At 40.0% G+C, this 14,657-nt stretch overlaps 3 annotated features.

Annotated features, from left to right (window-relative positions):
* Positions 6,965 to 7,494: an enhancer, noted in NCBI's record as "OCT4-NANOG-H3K27ac hESC enhancer chr1:237179824-237180353 (GRCh37/hg19 assembly coordinates)". NCBI's record gives its function as "activates a minimal SCP1, AML or CMV promoter by ChIP-STARR-seq in naive H9 embryonic stem cells {active_cell/tissue: H9 hESC(naive)}" and the evidence as "EXISTENCE:reporter gene assay evidence [ECO:0000049][PMID:30033119]".
* Positions 10,473 to 12,800: an enhancer, noted in NCBI's record as "VISTA enhancer hs2138". NCBI's record gives its function as "enhancer in: somite[3/7]" and the evidence as "EXISTENCE:transgenic organism evidence [ECO:0001131][PMID:17130149]".
* Positions 13,243 to 14,238: an enhancer, noted in NCBI's record as "NANOG-H3K27ac hESC enhancer chr1:237173080-237174075 (GRCh37/hg19 assembly coordinates)". NCBI's record gives its function as "activates a minimal SCP1, AML or CMV promoter by ChIP-STARR-seq in naive and primed H9 embryonic stem cells {active_cell/tissue: H9 hESC(naive and primed)}" and the evidence as "EXISTENCE:reporter gene assay evidence [ECO:0000049][PMID:30033119]".

Here is a 14,657-nt window from a genome sequence, read left to right as displayed (position 1 = left end):
AGGCCAACGTTCAGATTCAGGAAATACAGAGAACGCCACAAAGATACTCCTCGAGAAGAGCAACTCCAAGACACATAATTGTCAGATTCACCAAAGTTGAAATGAAGGAAAAAATGTTAAGGGCAGCCAGAGAGAAAGGTCGGGTTACCCTCAAAGGAAAGCCCATCAGACTAACAGCGGATCTCTCGGCAGAAACCCTACAAGCCAGAAGGGAGTGGGGGCCAATATTCAACATTCTTAAAGAAAAGAATTTTCAACCCAGAATTTCATATCCAGCCAAACTAAGCTTCATAAGTGAAGGAGAAATAAAATACTTTATAGACAAGCAAATGTTGAGAGATTTTGTCACCACCAGGCCTGCCCTAAAAGAGCTCCTGAAGGAAGCGCTAAACATGGAAAGGAACAACCGGTACCAGCCGCTGCAAAATCATGCCAAAATGTAAAGACCATCGAGACTAGGAAGAAACTGCATCAACTAATGAGCAAAATCACCAGCTAACATCATAAATGACAGGATCAAATTCACACATAACAATATTAACTTTAAATATAAATGGACTAAATTCTGCAATTAAAAGACACAGACTGGCAAGTTGGATAAAGAGTCAAGACCCATCAGTGTGCTGTATTCAGGAAACCCATCTCACGTGCAGAGACACACATAGGCTCAAAATAAAAGGATGGAGGAAGATCTACCAAGCCAATGGAAAACAAAAAAAGGCAGGGGTTGCAATCCTAGTCTCTGATAAAACAGACTTTAAACCAACAAAGATCAAAAGAGACAAAGAAGGCCATTACATAATGGTAAAGGGATCAATTCAACAAGAGGAGCTAACTATCCTAAATATTTATGCACCCAATACAGGAGCACCCAGATTCATAAAGCAAGTCCTCAGTGACCTACAAAGAGACTTAGACTCCCACACATTAATAATGGGAGACTTTAACACCCCACTGTCAACATTAGACAGATCAACGAGACAGAAAGTCAACAAGGATACCCAGGAATTGAACTCAGCTCTGCACCAAGCAGACCTAATAGACATCTACAGAACTCTCCACCCCAAATCAACAGAATATACATTTTTTTCAGCACCACACCACACCTATTCCAAAATTGACCACATAGTTGGAAGTAAAGCTCTCCTCAGCAAATGTAAAAGAACAGAAATTATAACAAACTATCTCTCAGACCACAGTGCAATCAAACTAGAACTCAGGATTAAGAATCTCACTCAAAGCCGCTCAACTACATGGAAACTGAACAACCTGCTCCTGAATGACTACTGGGTACATAACGAAATGAAGGCAGAAATAAAGATGTTCTTTGAAACCAACGAGAACAAAGACACAACATACCAGAATCTCTGGGACGCATTCAAAGCAGTGTGTAGAGGGAAATTTATAGCACTAAATGCCTACAAGAGAAAGCAGGAAAGATCCAAAATTGACACCCTAACATCACAATTAAAAGAACTAGAAAAGCAAGAGCAAACACATTCAAAAGCTAGCAGAAGGCAAGAAATAACTAAAATCAGAGCAGAACTGAAGGAAATAGAGACACAAAAAACCCTTCAAAAAATCAATGAATCCAGGAGCTGGTTTTTTGAAAGGATCAACAAAATTGATAGACCGCTAGCAAGACTAATAAAGAAAAAAAGAGAGAAGAATCAAATAGACACAATAAAAAATGATAAAGGGGATATCACCACCGATCCCACAGAAATACAAACTACCATCAGAGAATACTACAAACACCTCTACGCAAATAAACTAGAAAATCTAGAAGAAATGGATACATTCCTCGACACATACACTCTCCCAAGACTAAACCAGGAAGAAGTTGAATCTCTGAATAGACCAATAACAGACTCTGAAATTGTGGCAATAATCAATAGTTTACCAACCAAAAAGAGTCCAGGACCAGATGGATTCACAGCCGAATTCTACCAGAGGTACAAGGAGGAACTGGTACCATTCCTTCTGAAACTATTCCAATCAATAGAAAAAGAGGGAATCCTCCCTAACTCATTTTATGAGGCCAGCATCATTCTGATACCAAAGCCGGGCAGAGACACAACCAAAAAAGAGAATTTTAGACCAATATCCTTGATGAACATTGATGCAAAAATCCTCAATAAAATACTGGCAAACCGAATCCAGCAGCACATCAAAAAGCTTATCCACCATGATCAAGTGGGCTTCATCCCTGGGATGCAAGGCTGGTTCAATATACGCAAATCAATAAATGTAATCCAGCATATAAACAGAGCCAAAGACAAAAACCACATGATTATCTCAATAGATGCAGAAAAAGCCTTTGACAAAATTCAACAACCCTTCATACTAAAAACTCTCAATAAATTAGGTATTGATGGGACGTATTTCAAAATAGTAAGAGCTATCTATGACAAACCCACAGCCAATATCATACTGAATGGGCAAAAACTGGAAGCATTCCCTTTGAAAACTGGCACAAGACAGGGATGCCCTCTCTCACCGCTCCTATTCAACATAGTGTTGGAAGTTCTGGCCAGGGCAATCAGGCAGGAGAAGGAAATAAAGGGTATTCAATTAGGAAAAGAGGAAGTCAAATTGTCCCTGTTTGCAGACGACATGATTGTTTATCTAGAAAACCCCATCGTCTCAGCCCAAAATCTCCTTAAGCTGATAAGCAACTTCAGCAAAGTCTCAGGATACAAAATCAATGTACAAAAATCACAAGCATTCTTATACACCAACAACAGACAAACAGAGAGCCAAATCATGAGTGAACTCCCATTCACAATTGCTTCAAAGAGAATAAAATACCTAGGAATCCAACTTACAAGGGATGTGAAGGACCTCTTCAAGGAGAACTACAAACCACTGCTCAAGGAAATAAAAGAGGACACAAACAAATGGAAGAACATTCCATGCTCATGGGTAGGAAGAATCAATATTGTGAAAATGGCCATACTGCCCAAGGTAATTTACAGATTCAATGCCATCCCCATCAAGCTACCAATGACTTTCTTCACAGAATTGGAAAAAACTACTTTAAAGTTCATATGGAACCAAAAAAGAGCCTGCATCGCCAAGTCAATCCTAAGCCAAAAGAACAAAGCTGGAGGCATCACACTACCTGACTTCAAACTATACTACAAGGCTACAGTAACCAAAACAGCATGGTACTGGTACCAAAACAGAGATATAGATCAATGGAACAGAACAGAGCCCTCAGAAATAATGCCGCATATCTACAACTATCTGATCTTTGACAAACCTGAGAAAAACAAGCAATGGGGAAAGGATTCCCTATTTAATAAATGGTGCTGGGAAAACTGGCTAGCCATATGTAGAAAGCTGAAACTGGATCCCTTCCTTACACCTTATACAAAAATCAATTCAAGATGGATTAAAGATTTAAATGTTAGACCTAAATCCATAAAAACCCTAGAAGAAAACCTAGGCATTACCATTCAGGACATAGGCGTGGGCAAGGACTTCATGTCCAAAACACCAAAAGCAATGGCAACAAAAGCCAAAATTGACAAATGGGATCTAATTAAACTAAAGAGCTTCTGCACAGCAAAAGAAACTACCATCAGAGTAAACAGGCAACCTACAACATGGGAGAAAATTTTCGCAACCTACTCATCTGACAAAGGGCTAATATCCAGAATCTACAATGAACTCAAACAAATTTACAAGAAAAAAACAAACAACCCCATCAAAAAGTGGGCGAAGGACATGAACAGACACTTCTCAAAAGAAGACATTTATGCAGCCAAAAAACACATGAAGAAATGCTCATCATCACTGGCCATCAGAGAAATGCAAATCAAAACCACTATGAGATATCATCTCACACCAGTTAGAATGGCAATCATTAAAAAGTCAGGAAACAACAGGTGCTGGAGAGGATGTGGAGAAATAGGAACACTTTTACACTGTTGGTGGGACTGTAAACTAGTTCAACCATTGTGGAAGTCAGTGTGGCGATTCCTCAGGGATCTAGAACTAGAAATACCATTTGACCCAGCCATCCCATTACTGGGTATATACCCAAAGGACTATAAATCATGCTGCTATAAAGACACATGCACACGTATGTTTATTGCGGCACTATTCACAATAGCAAAGATTTGGAACCAACCCAAATGTCCAACAATGATAGACTGGATTAAGAAAATGTGGCACATATACACCATGGAATACTATGCAGCCATAAAAAATGATGAGTTCATGTCCTTTGTAGGGACATGGATGAAATTGGAAACCATCATTCTCAGTAAACTATCGCAAGAACAAAAAACCAAACACCGCATATTCTCACTCATAGGTGGGAATTGAACAATGAGATCACATGGACACAGGAAGGGGAATATCACACTCTGGGGACTGTGGTGGGGTCGGGGGAGGGGGGAGGGATAGCATTGGGAGATATACCTAATGCTAGATGAAACGTTAGTGGGTGCAGCGCACCAGCATGGCACATGTATACATATGTAACTAACCTGCACAATGTGCACATGTACCCTAAAACTTAGAGTATAATAAAAAAAAAACATTAAAAATAAAAAATAAAAAATAAAAAATAAAAAAAAAAGCAAGACATATGCTATCTATAAAAAATTCATTTTAACTAAAAAGACACAAATAGTTTAAAAGTAAAATGATGAAAAAAGATATGCCAGGAAACTCTAATAAAAAGAAAACTGGAGTGGCCATTCTAATATTAGATAAAATATGTTTCAATAAAGATGATTATTTCATAATGGTAAAAGCATCAATATCAAGAGAACATAATCCTAAATTTGTATGTAACAAAGCTTCAGAGCAAAACTGGAACTGACAAGAAAAATAGACAAATTCACAGTTTTAGTTGATTTCAACACTTCTCTCTGATTGAGTTGACAGGACAAGTAGACAGAAAATCAGTTAGACTGCTATAACTGATAAAACACTGCTGTCAACCAACTTGATCTAATTGGCATTTGTAGAACACTACTCAGCAATAGCAGAACACAATTTTTTTCCAAATCTATACAGAACATTCACCAATATGAGCCATATCTTGGGCTATAAAACATGTATCAATAAATTTAAGAGTACTAAAATCAAACAAAGTATGTTCTGTGACTATAATGAAATAAATAACAGAAAGATATCCAGAAAATCCCTAAAATCTTCAAAATTATACAACATATTTCTAGATAACCCATAGATTAAACAAGAAAACAACAGGAAAATTAGAATATATTTTAAACTGAATTAAAATGAGAGTGCCACATATCAAAATGTGCAGGTAGAGGACAAATAGTGCGGGGAAGGAAATGTGTAGCACTAAACATACTAGAAAAGAAGGATTTCAAATCAATGATCTAAGCTTCCGCTTCAAGAAACCAAAGAAAGAAGTGGAAATTAAACCCACCACAAGCAGAGGGAAGAAAGTAATAAAGTTAAGAACAAAAATTAATAGAAATAGAAAAAGAAAGAAAGAAAATCTATGAAACAAAACAAAACGATTAATAAAACTGATAAAACTCTAGCCAAACTGACAAATGAGAGAGAGAGAGAGACAACACAAATTACCAATATAAGGATTTAAAAAGGGGAAATCACTACTGATTCTACAGTCATTCAAAAGATAAGGTAGGCCAGGCATAGTGGCTCATGCCTGTAACCCCAGCACTTTGGGAGGCTGAGGGGGGCAGATTACCTGAGGTCAGGAGTCTCAGACCAGCCTGGCCAACATGGTGAAACCCCGTCTCTATTAAAAATACAAAAATTAGCTGGGCATGGTGGCAGGTGCCTGTAATCCCAGCTGCTCAGGAAGCTGAGGCAGGAGAATCACCTGAACCCAGGAGGCAGAGGTTGCAGTAAGCCAAGATTGTGCCATTGCACTCTAGCCTGGGTGACAGAGAGAGATTCTGTTGAAAGAAGAAAGAAAGAAGGAAGGAAGGAAGGAAAGAAAGAAGGAAAGAAAGAAAGAAAAAGAAAGAAAGAAAGAGAAAGAAAGAGAGAAAGAGAGAAAAGGAAGAAGGAAGGAAGAAAAGATAAGGTAATACTATGAATATTTTTGTCAATAAATTTTGCAAACTAGATTAAATTGTTAAACTTCTCAAAAGACACAATTTATCAAAAGAAACAGAAATGAAATAGCAAAATGCAAATAGCTCTATATCTATTGAAGTAATTCAGTTCATTGTCATCAGTCTTTTCCCCAAAAAATACCTCCAGGATTAAATGATTTCACTAGCAAATTATATCAAACACTTAAGGAAAATTTAATTCCAATTGTAGGAAAGCTCTTTCAGAAAATAGCAAAAAAAAGAAACACTTCCCTCCTTGTTTTCTCATACCAAACCTGATAAAGACATTATGAGACCAGAAAACTAGAGACTAACAACCCTCATAGCCACACATTCGTCATGACATTTCTAACAAAATATTAGAAATCCAACCAGCAACCAATAATAGAAAAACACATCATGACCAAGTAGGATTTATTCCAGGAATGTAAGGTTGACTTCATATTTTAAAATCCATCCATGTATTTTGCCATATTAGCACACCGAAAAATAAAAACCATGTGATCATCTCAATAGTCTCAGAAAAAAAATGCAACAAAATCCGAAGTCCATTCCTAGTAAAAACTCACACAAGCTAAAAATTGAAGGAAGTTTCCTCAACCTGATAAAGGCCACCTGTGAGAAACCTTGAGTTAACATCATCCTTTTTGGGGAAGATTGCCTTCCCCCTAAGATTAGGAAACAGGGCAAGGATATCTGTTTTCAACACTTGTATGTTTAGAGGTGAAGGGAAAACTTACCTTTCCCCCCTTGGAAGATTTGCTGAAAAATCAATCGACAAAAGGAAGATTACCAGGAGAAATGGCATACAAATTTATTAAAGTGCATGGGGGAGAAACACAGGGTGATTACTGCAACCCCCGCCAGTGGGGTGCAAAAGCTTATATACCATCTTGAGTTTACAGAAAGAATGGCCAAAGTATGTTTTGGCTCAGAGCATGGCCAAAAACAGTTTGTAGTGTTAAATCAGATTATGGTGGCAAGACAGGTTTGGGAGGGAGAGAAGAGGAGGTCTGGCTAGCAAAGGTCATCTTGTTATGTAGATGAAATCACACAGGTAGCAGCCCTCAGAGAGAATAGATGGTAAATGTTTCTTTTAGACCTTCAACAGAGTCAGTCTCTCAGTCTTTGCTAGATCAGACAAAGGAGGGCTTCAGAGAAAGCCTAGCGGCATCAATGCAGACTTTCTCTGCAGATGCAAATCTCCCCCACAAAAGACAGTTTTTCAGCCATGCTGAATACCCATCCTGAAATATGTTAAAACAGAATATTTTGGGGTGAAATATTTTGGTTTCCTTCATCTACAACATTGTACTCTAAGTCCTGGCTAGTACAAAAAGACAAGAAAAAGAAATAAAAGGCATCGTGTTGGAAAGAAAGAAGTGATAGTGTTTTTCTTCACAGATAGCATTGATTGTCTATGTAAAAAATCCAGAGATCCACAAAAAAGCTACTGGAAGTAAAAAGTGGGTTTGGCAAGGACACAATATTTCAGGTTAATGTACAAAAATCAGGGATACAGGCACAGGAAACAATGGGAAAATGAAATTTTAAAAATGAAATACCTAATATTACCAAAAATTAAAATATTTGAAAATAGATTTAATTTTAAAATGCAAGACCTGTACATTGAAAGCTACATACCATTCTGGAGAAAAGTTAAAGAAGATCCCCCAAAATGGAAAGATATACTGTATTCCTAGATCAGAAGAGTCAATATTGTTGTCAGTTCTCCCTAGTATGTTGTATAGATTCAAGGCAATCCTGATTTTAGCAAACATTTTAGAATTTTACAAACCAATTCTAAAATTTATATAGAAACACAAGGCACCTAAAACAGCCAAAACACTTTTTTTTTTTTTTTAACTGAGTCTTGCTCTGTCGCCCAGGCTGGAGTGCAGTGGCATGATCTTGGTTCACTGCAACCTCCGCCTCCTGGGTTAAAGCAATTTTCTTGTCTCAGCCTCCCAAGTAGCTGGGATTACAGGTGCATGCCACCATGCCCAGCTAATTTTTATATTTTTAGAGACAGGGTTTTGCCATGTTGGCCAGACTGGTCTCGAACTCCGCACCTTGGGTGATCCTCCCACCTTGGTCTCCCGAAGTGCTGAGATTACAGGCATAAGCAACCACACCCAGCCCAAAACAACTTTTTTTTTTTTTTTTTTTTGAGACGGAGTCTCGCTCTGTCGCCCAGGCTGGAGTGCAGTGGCGGGATCTCGGCTCACTGCAAGCTCCGCCTCCCGGGTTCACGCCATTCTCCTGCCTCAGCCTCCCGAGTAGCTGGGACTACAGGCGCCCGCCACTACGCCCGGCTAATTTTTTGTATTTTTAGTAGAGACGGGGTTTCACCGTTTTAGCCGGGATGGTCTCGATCTCCTGACCTCGTGATCCGCCCGCCTCGGCCTCCCAAAGTGCTGGGATTACAGGCGTGAGCCACCGCGCCCGGCCAACAACTTTTTTTACAAAATAAAATAAGCCTGGGCAACATAGTGACACATCATCCTTATAAAAAAATCAAAAAATTAGTTGGGCGCATGCCTGCAGTCCCACCTACTCAGGAGGTGGGAAGATTGCTGGAGCCCGGGAAGTTGACGCTCTAGTGAGCCGTGATCATGCCACTGCACTCCAGCTTGGGCAACAGAGTGAGATCCTGTCCAAAAAAAAAGAAAGAAAAAAATAAGAAAAGGAAAATATTTAGAGGACTTACATTACCTATTTCCAAACTCACTTTACCACTACAGTAATCAAGATGGTGTGCTATTAATGTAGCAAAGATAAACCAGTAGAACAGAATAGAAACTACAGACATAGACCCACATATATGTGATCAATTGATTTGTAATTGGCTGAGCATGATGCCTCATGCCTGTAATCCCAGCACTTTGGGAGGCCAAGGTGGTTGGATCACCTGAGGTCAGGAGTTCGAGACCAGCCTGGCCAACATAGTAAAACCCCATTTCTACTAAAAATACAAAAAAAAAAAAAAAAAAAAATAGCTGGGCGTGGTGGCAGGCACCTGTAATCCCAGCTACTTGGGAGGCTAAGCAGAAGAATCACTTGAACCCGGGAGGCACAGGTTGCAGTGAGCCGAGACCACACAATTGCACTCCAGCCTGGGCAACAAGAACAAAACTCCATCTCAAAAAAAAAAAAAATTTAAGAGACGAAGTCTCACAATGTTGCCCAGGCTGACCTCGAACTCTTGGACTCAAGCAGTCCTCCCACTGCAACTTCCAAGGAGCTGGGACTACAGATGTGCACGACTGCACCCAGCTCAATTGACTTCTGATGAAGGTGACAGGTAATTCAATGAGGGAGAGAATCATCTCTTCAACAATCAGTGCTGTAACAAATGGACACATATGTGAAAAATAACTTTGTCATACCTCATTTCATATTCATCTGCAAAAATTCACTCAAAATGATCATAAACCTAAATGTAAAAGCTAAAGCAATAAAACTTCTAGAAGAAAACTTCAGAAGAAATGTTTGTGACCTTGGTTTGTATCTAAGATATCTCAGAGAGGACAAAAAGTACAAACTGTAAAAGAAAAAAAGTTGATAAATTGGACTTGATCGAAATTTAAAACTTTTCTTGTTAAGAAATTAAAAAGGCAAGCCAAAGATTAGGAAAAGATATTTACAACACCCATACCTGATAAAAGATTTGTATTGAGAATATAAGGAATTCTTCTAGGATAATAATAATAAGACAACTTTTTTTTTAAGGCAAAAGATTTGAACAAATAAACTCACTATATTTTAGGAAACTTATTTTTGTTATGGTTGAGACAGGGTCTTACTCTGTCACCCAGGCTGGAGTGCAGTGGTGCAATCATAGCTCACTGCAGCCTTGAACTCCTGAGTTCAAACAATCCTCCTGCCTTAGCCTCCCAAATAGCTGGGATTACAGCTGTGTGCCACCATGTCCTGCTAATTTTTAAAAGTTTTTTGTAGATATGGAGGTGGGGGTGTCCTGGGGGTGTTGCCCAGGATGTTCTTGAACTCATGGCCTCGAGCAATCCTCCCACCTCGGCCTCTCAAAGCGCTGGTACAGCCATAAGCCTCCATGCCTGGCAGTCTCCTCTTCTTATAAGGACATCATTCATTGGATTAGGGCCCATCCGAAGTCCAGAATGATTTCACTGTGAGATCCTTAACTTATTACGTCTGCAAAGACTCTGATATCCAAATAAGGTCACATTCTGAGGTTCTGGAAGAACATGAAATTGGGGGGCACACTATTCAACCTGCTTCACTCACCATCCTAAAGTTTATAATAGCATTTCTATTATAATTTATAATAGGAATTAAGAGTTTTACTTTAAAATTTATATATACCATTTATATATTCCTAAATTTTTCAGCAAAGTTTGTGTCACATTCATTCATTCATTCATTCACCAGACAAACATTTAGGGGACATTTACCATAGGACATAGGAGTTTAGGCTCTTATCCTAAACCTAGGTATCATTCCTACCCCTGAGTTCTTCACAATGATTTTGTACCTCTCCTTCCAAAAGGAATCATCTGGCAGAGAGAGCATTTCTCCCAGGCTGGAGTTATTTTCACACGTTAGTTTTTAAATTAAAACAATAGTAAAGTGCACTGACATTTTGTTCCTACAGCATGTGGAGTAATATTTTTATGGTTACTCTGGCAACCACAAAGGCAAGAGCAGCAGGGGGGAAGGAGCAGAAGGGCTGGCACGGGTCACTGGGAGGTGGAAGGAGCACCTCGCTGCGGTGTGCTGGCTCGGGTCCAAACAGGACGGGGCCGCAAGACCAGCTACTGCACAGAAAACGGCCTGAATCCCCAGCCTGAGTCATCGTCCCATGACTGGAGAACATGGACAGATTATTTTCTCAAGAAACTGGTGATAAACCAAGGGCTGCAGGAATTAAGATCTAGTGCTAAAAAAGAAATGTTTACATAGGGCTAGATATCCCGTCAGCATAGAAAGGGCAGTTGTTGATTGAACTACTATTTGTAGACGACAGGCACATGCGCTGCCAAGTCCATAGCGACTAAAGTGCTGTCAAGGACTTGGTTTTGCCAGTGCACCGGATTCCGGGACAAAGTCTGAGCTAGGTCATATGCTCTCTCCTCTCCCTATGCTTATGAAACATGGTCCTACCCCTAATTAGTCAGTCCCTGTCTATTATGGACCAACTACGTACACAGCACTGATCCAGGGGCTTTGGAAACACTTTTTTAAAAAAGCGTTAAACAGACTTTGCTCCAGCCAATGACATAATGCAAATGAGACAAATAAAATAAAATTGTGCTTATGCAACCTAGGTATTTCACCTTCTGAGTCTTAAAAAAAAAGAGAGAGAGAGAGAGAGAAAAAAGAGGGAGGTAGTTTGGGAAGGGAAAATTATGCAAAATCTTGTTGAAAGTCAACATGTCCTAATATTAGTGAAGAGTATGAGCTTGGCTTCACATGGTCCTGGATCGAACTCTAACTTTCACTCGCCAGCTAAATATCCCTATCCTTGCAGGTTACTTATATTTATTGACCCTTTCATCCCTCTCATTTGTAAAACGGAAAGGGAGATTCCTACCTTGTGGGTTTGCAGTGAGAATTAAATGAGAACATGTGTGATGAGCACTAATGTCATATCCGGCCTCTCACAGAAACTCAGTAAATGGTAAACGTCACTGTTGCTGTCGTTCATGGATTCAGTCTCACCCTGGGCATAGCTTGGGACAGGGACATGAGGCCATAGTGATTGAGAGCACCGAGAGGCTATGGAAGCTCACTTCTGAGGCCCAGTCCCCCCGGCAAAGTGCAGCATCCGAGGGACACCAGAGTCTCCGAACCAGAGGAAGTACAATGGCCATCAAGGACAGGAACTACCTAAACGCTCAGCCATCCTCTGAGACCTATTCGATGAGGTATCTGGCTCAACCACTTAGTTCCTACTACTAAGATTTTCTGATTTGGGGAGAAAAAGTGGTGAGTGGAAACCTGCTGGTTTCCCCCGGGACCTGGGGGTGACTCTGGAGCCCTCCTCTCAGTCTTCGCTCTGAGTCTTCGTAGAGGAGGAACAAGCATTCCTCCTCTACCTCAAGGTGTGGGTTAAGTGGGAAACAGGAGCTCGGTTGGGGCTTCAGGAGAATGATCCAGGGCCTGGTTGTGGGAAGTTGGCCAAAAGAAAAGTAGGGTGACCCACAACAATGTGGGAAGGAAGAGTTCGTCCTTTTCTCCTTGGCCATCGTCTCTATAACTTAGCAAAATCAACTTGGCTGAATGAGAAGTTGTCTCACCCCTCTGTTAGGTTAGTCACTCAATAACAATTATTTTTAAGATCATATTCTATTTATATGCCAAAGAGCTAAATATAGAACTGTGTGACTCTACCAGCATTCAGAAATATTCCAGATACACTAAAATGAAAACCTGACTATAAAATAAATCCACCCCAGATTACCTCAACTTTCAGAAGATCATATCTAGAAAGCAGACAATACTAACATTTAAATGGTTTTAATCATAGTCAGAACCAGAGAAAAACGTTTCTGTTTGTCAATCTTTTAAAGGCAAACAAACCTAAATCTTCACCAATATGCGATTTTTTAATACAATCATTTTTCACAAATGTGGTCAAATTGGTTACAAGAACAACTAATCCCACACTAGTTTTATTTAGTTCCCAGTGAGAAGGTGTAATTCTGACTTGCCTTGACTAATAGAACTGTCGTGTTGTCTGGCTAAACATAGAAGCTATTAGAGAATTAGGACATAAGTATTCTAACTTCTAGAATGATGGAGAATGAGAATTGGAGACTTAGGTCCTAGGCCCCAGCTCTGGACAAGTCTTTTAACAAAAATAGTGCTGAGCATTTGCTAGAGCACAGTTCTGAGTAAGTAAGGAGTATGGGAGAAGAGAAGGCTCATTTCTTTCCCTTGCAGGGGCCAAGGGAAAACTTCCCCTTTGCCCTCTGAAGTTTCACTGAAAACTTAACTGACAAACGGCAGATTAATTGGAGAAAAGCCATGAAAATTGATTCACATGCACGGGAGGGAGAACCCCCATCTCAATGAGAGATGACCCCCTATCCTAGGGAGGCCCAGATGTTATATGCTCTTATTCCAGAGGGGAGGGAGGGATAGGGAATGTAGATCATTCCGTTGAGGGGCAATCAATGATTACTAAGGAGAATGAGTGGATATGAGTGGATGGGGAGCAGAGATTAACTTGTCAATGGTTGTCTTTGGAAACTGACTGAGCCTAAGAGACAGATACTATCTTGTAAGTGGGTGTGTTCAGGTGTGTTTAGATTCTTGCTCTTCTTTTCTGAACAGGTAATGAACTAACACAGAGGAGAAGGAAAAAACCATTTTCCCTCTTGGTAGGTCCCTCTTTATGTACATAGGGGAAAAGTCATTTCCAGTGTCTGTGGGTCTTTAAGGGCCTTTACTTCAAAACACTCATACCAGGGAGCTATATTTTAGAGTAACATTCCCCAAACTCCCTCACCCTCAAGTGGTTTAGCAATCATTTGGTGTTACAAAATTAAACCAGTGGCACAGAGGAGCCCGGTAAGACTGTTTATAATGAAGTTCTATGTGGATACACAGTTTCTAGGTATAAGAAAAAGGGGAAAAAAATCCATGGACCTGGAGCTGTTGGGGAAGGCAGACATTAGGCTGGCCCTGCACTGTTAGGTAAGCTATGGATAGGAAATGTTGACCAAAACAGCCAAACTCTGTGAAATATTTGAAGAGGTTTATTCTGAGCCAACTGTAAGGACTATGACCCATGACACAGTTTCAGGAGGTCCTGGGAACATATGCCCCAGGTGACTGGGTTAAGCTTGGTTTTACACCTTATAAGGGGACAGAAGTTACACACAGAGACATAAATCAATACATGTGAGGTATACATTGGTTCATCCCAGAAAGGCAGGACATCTTGAAGTGGACGCTTCTAGGTCATATGTGGATTTCAAGATTTACCAATCGGAAATTTGTCGAAACAGCTAAGTTATTATCTGAAGACCTGGGATGAATAGAAAGGAGCATCTGGGTCAAGAAAAGGGTTTGTGGAGACCAAGGTTCTTATTATGTAGATGAAATCATGTAGGTGGCCACCCTTCGAGACAATAGATGGCAAATGTTTCCTATTCAGACTTTTAAAAGGTGCTAGACTCTCAGTTAATTTCCTCAGGATTGGGAGGGCCTGGAAAGGGAAAGACTTGGTTATGTTAATAGACATTCTTTACAGCTGGATATTTTCCCCCACAAAAGATGGCTTTGCTGGGTCATTTCAAAATATGACAAAGAAACATATTTTGGGGTGAAATGTTTTGATTTCCTTCTTTATTTGTCATGTGATGCTATACTAGAGTCAGGTTGGAATTTGGTATCTTATTGCTACAAAGAGTCTGTGTTGTCAGTGTTAAGATCTCTGTTTTAATGTTAAGTTTGGTCAGTTGTGCCTGAACACTAAAGGGAGGAAAGTATAAGGAGGCATGTCCAACCCCCACTTCCCATATGGCCTGACCTAGTTTTTCAGGTTTCTTTGGGTCCCCTTGGCCTAGAGAAGGGTCCACTCAGTCAGTTGAG

Source organism: Homo sapiens, chromosome 1 (genome assembly GCF_000001405.40).
Source record: "Homo sapiens chromosome 1, GRCh38.p14 Primary Assembly".
In the NCBI taxonomy this organism is placed as follows: Eukaryota; Metazoa; Chordata; class Mammalia; order Primates; family Hominidae; genus Homo; species Homo sapiens.
Note: the sequence above shows the minus strand (reverse complement) of the source record. Positions and strands in the feature narration are given on the sequence as shown.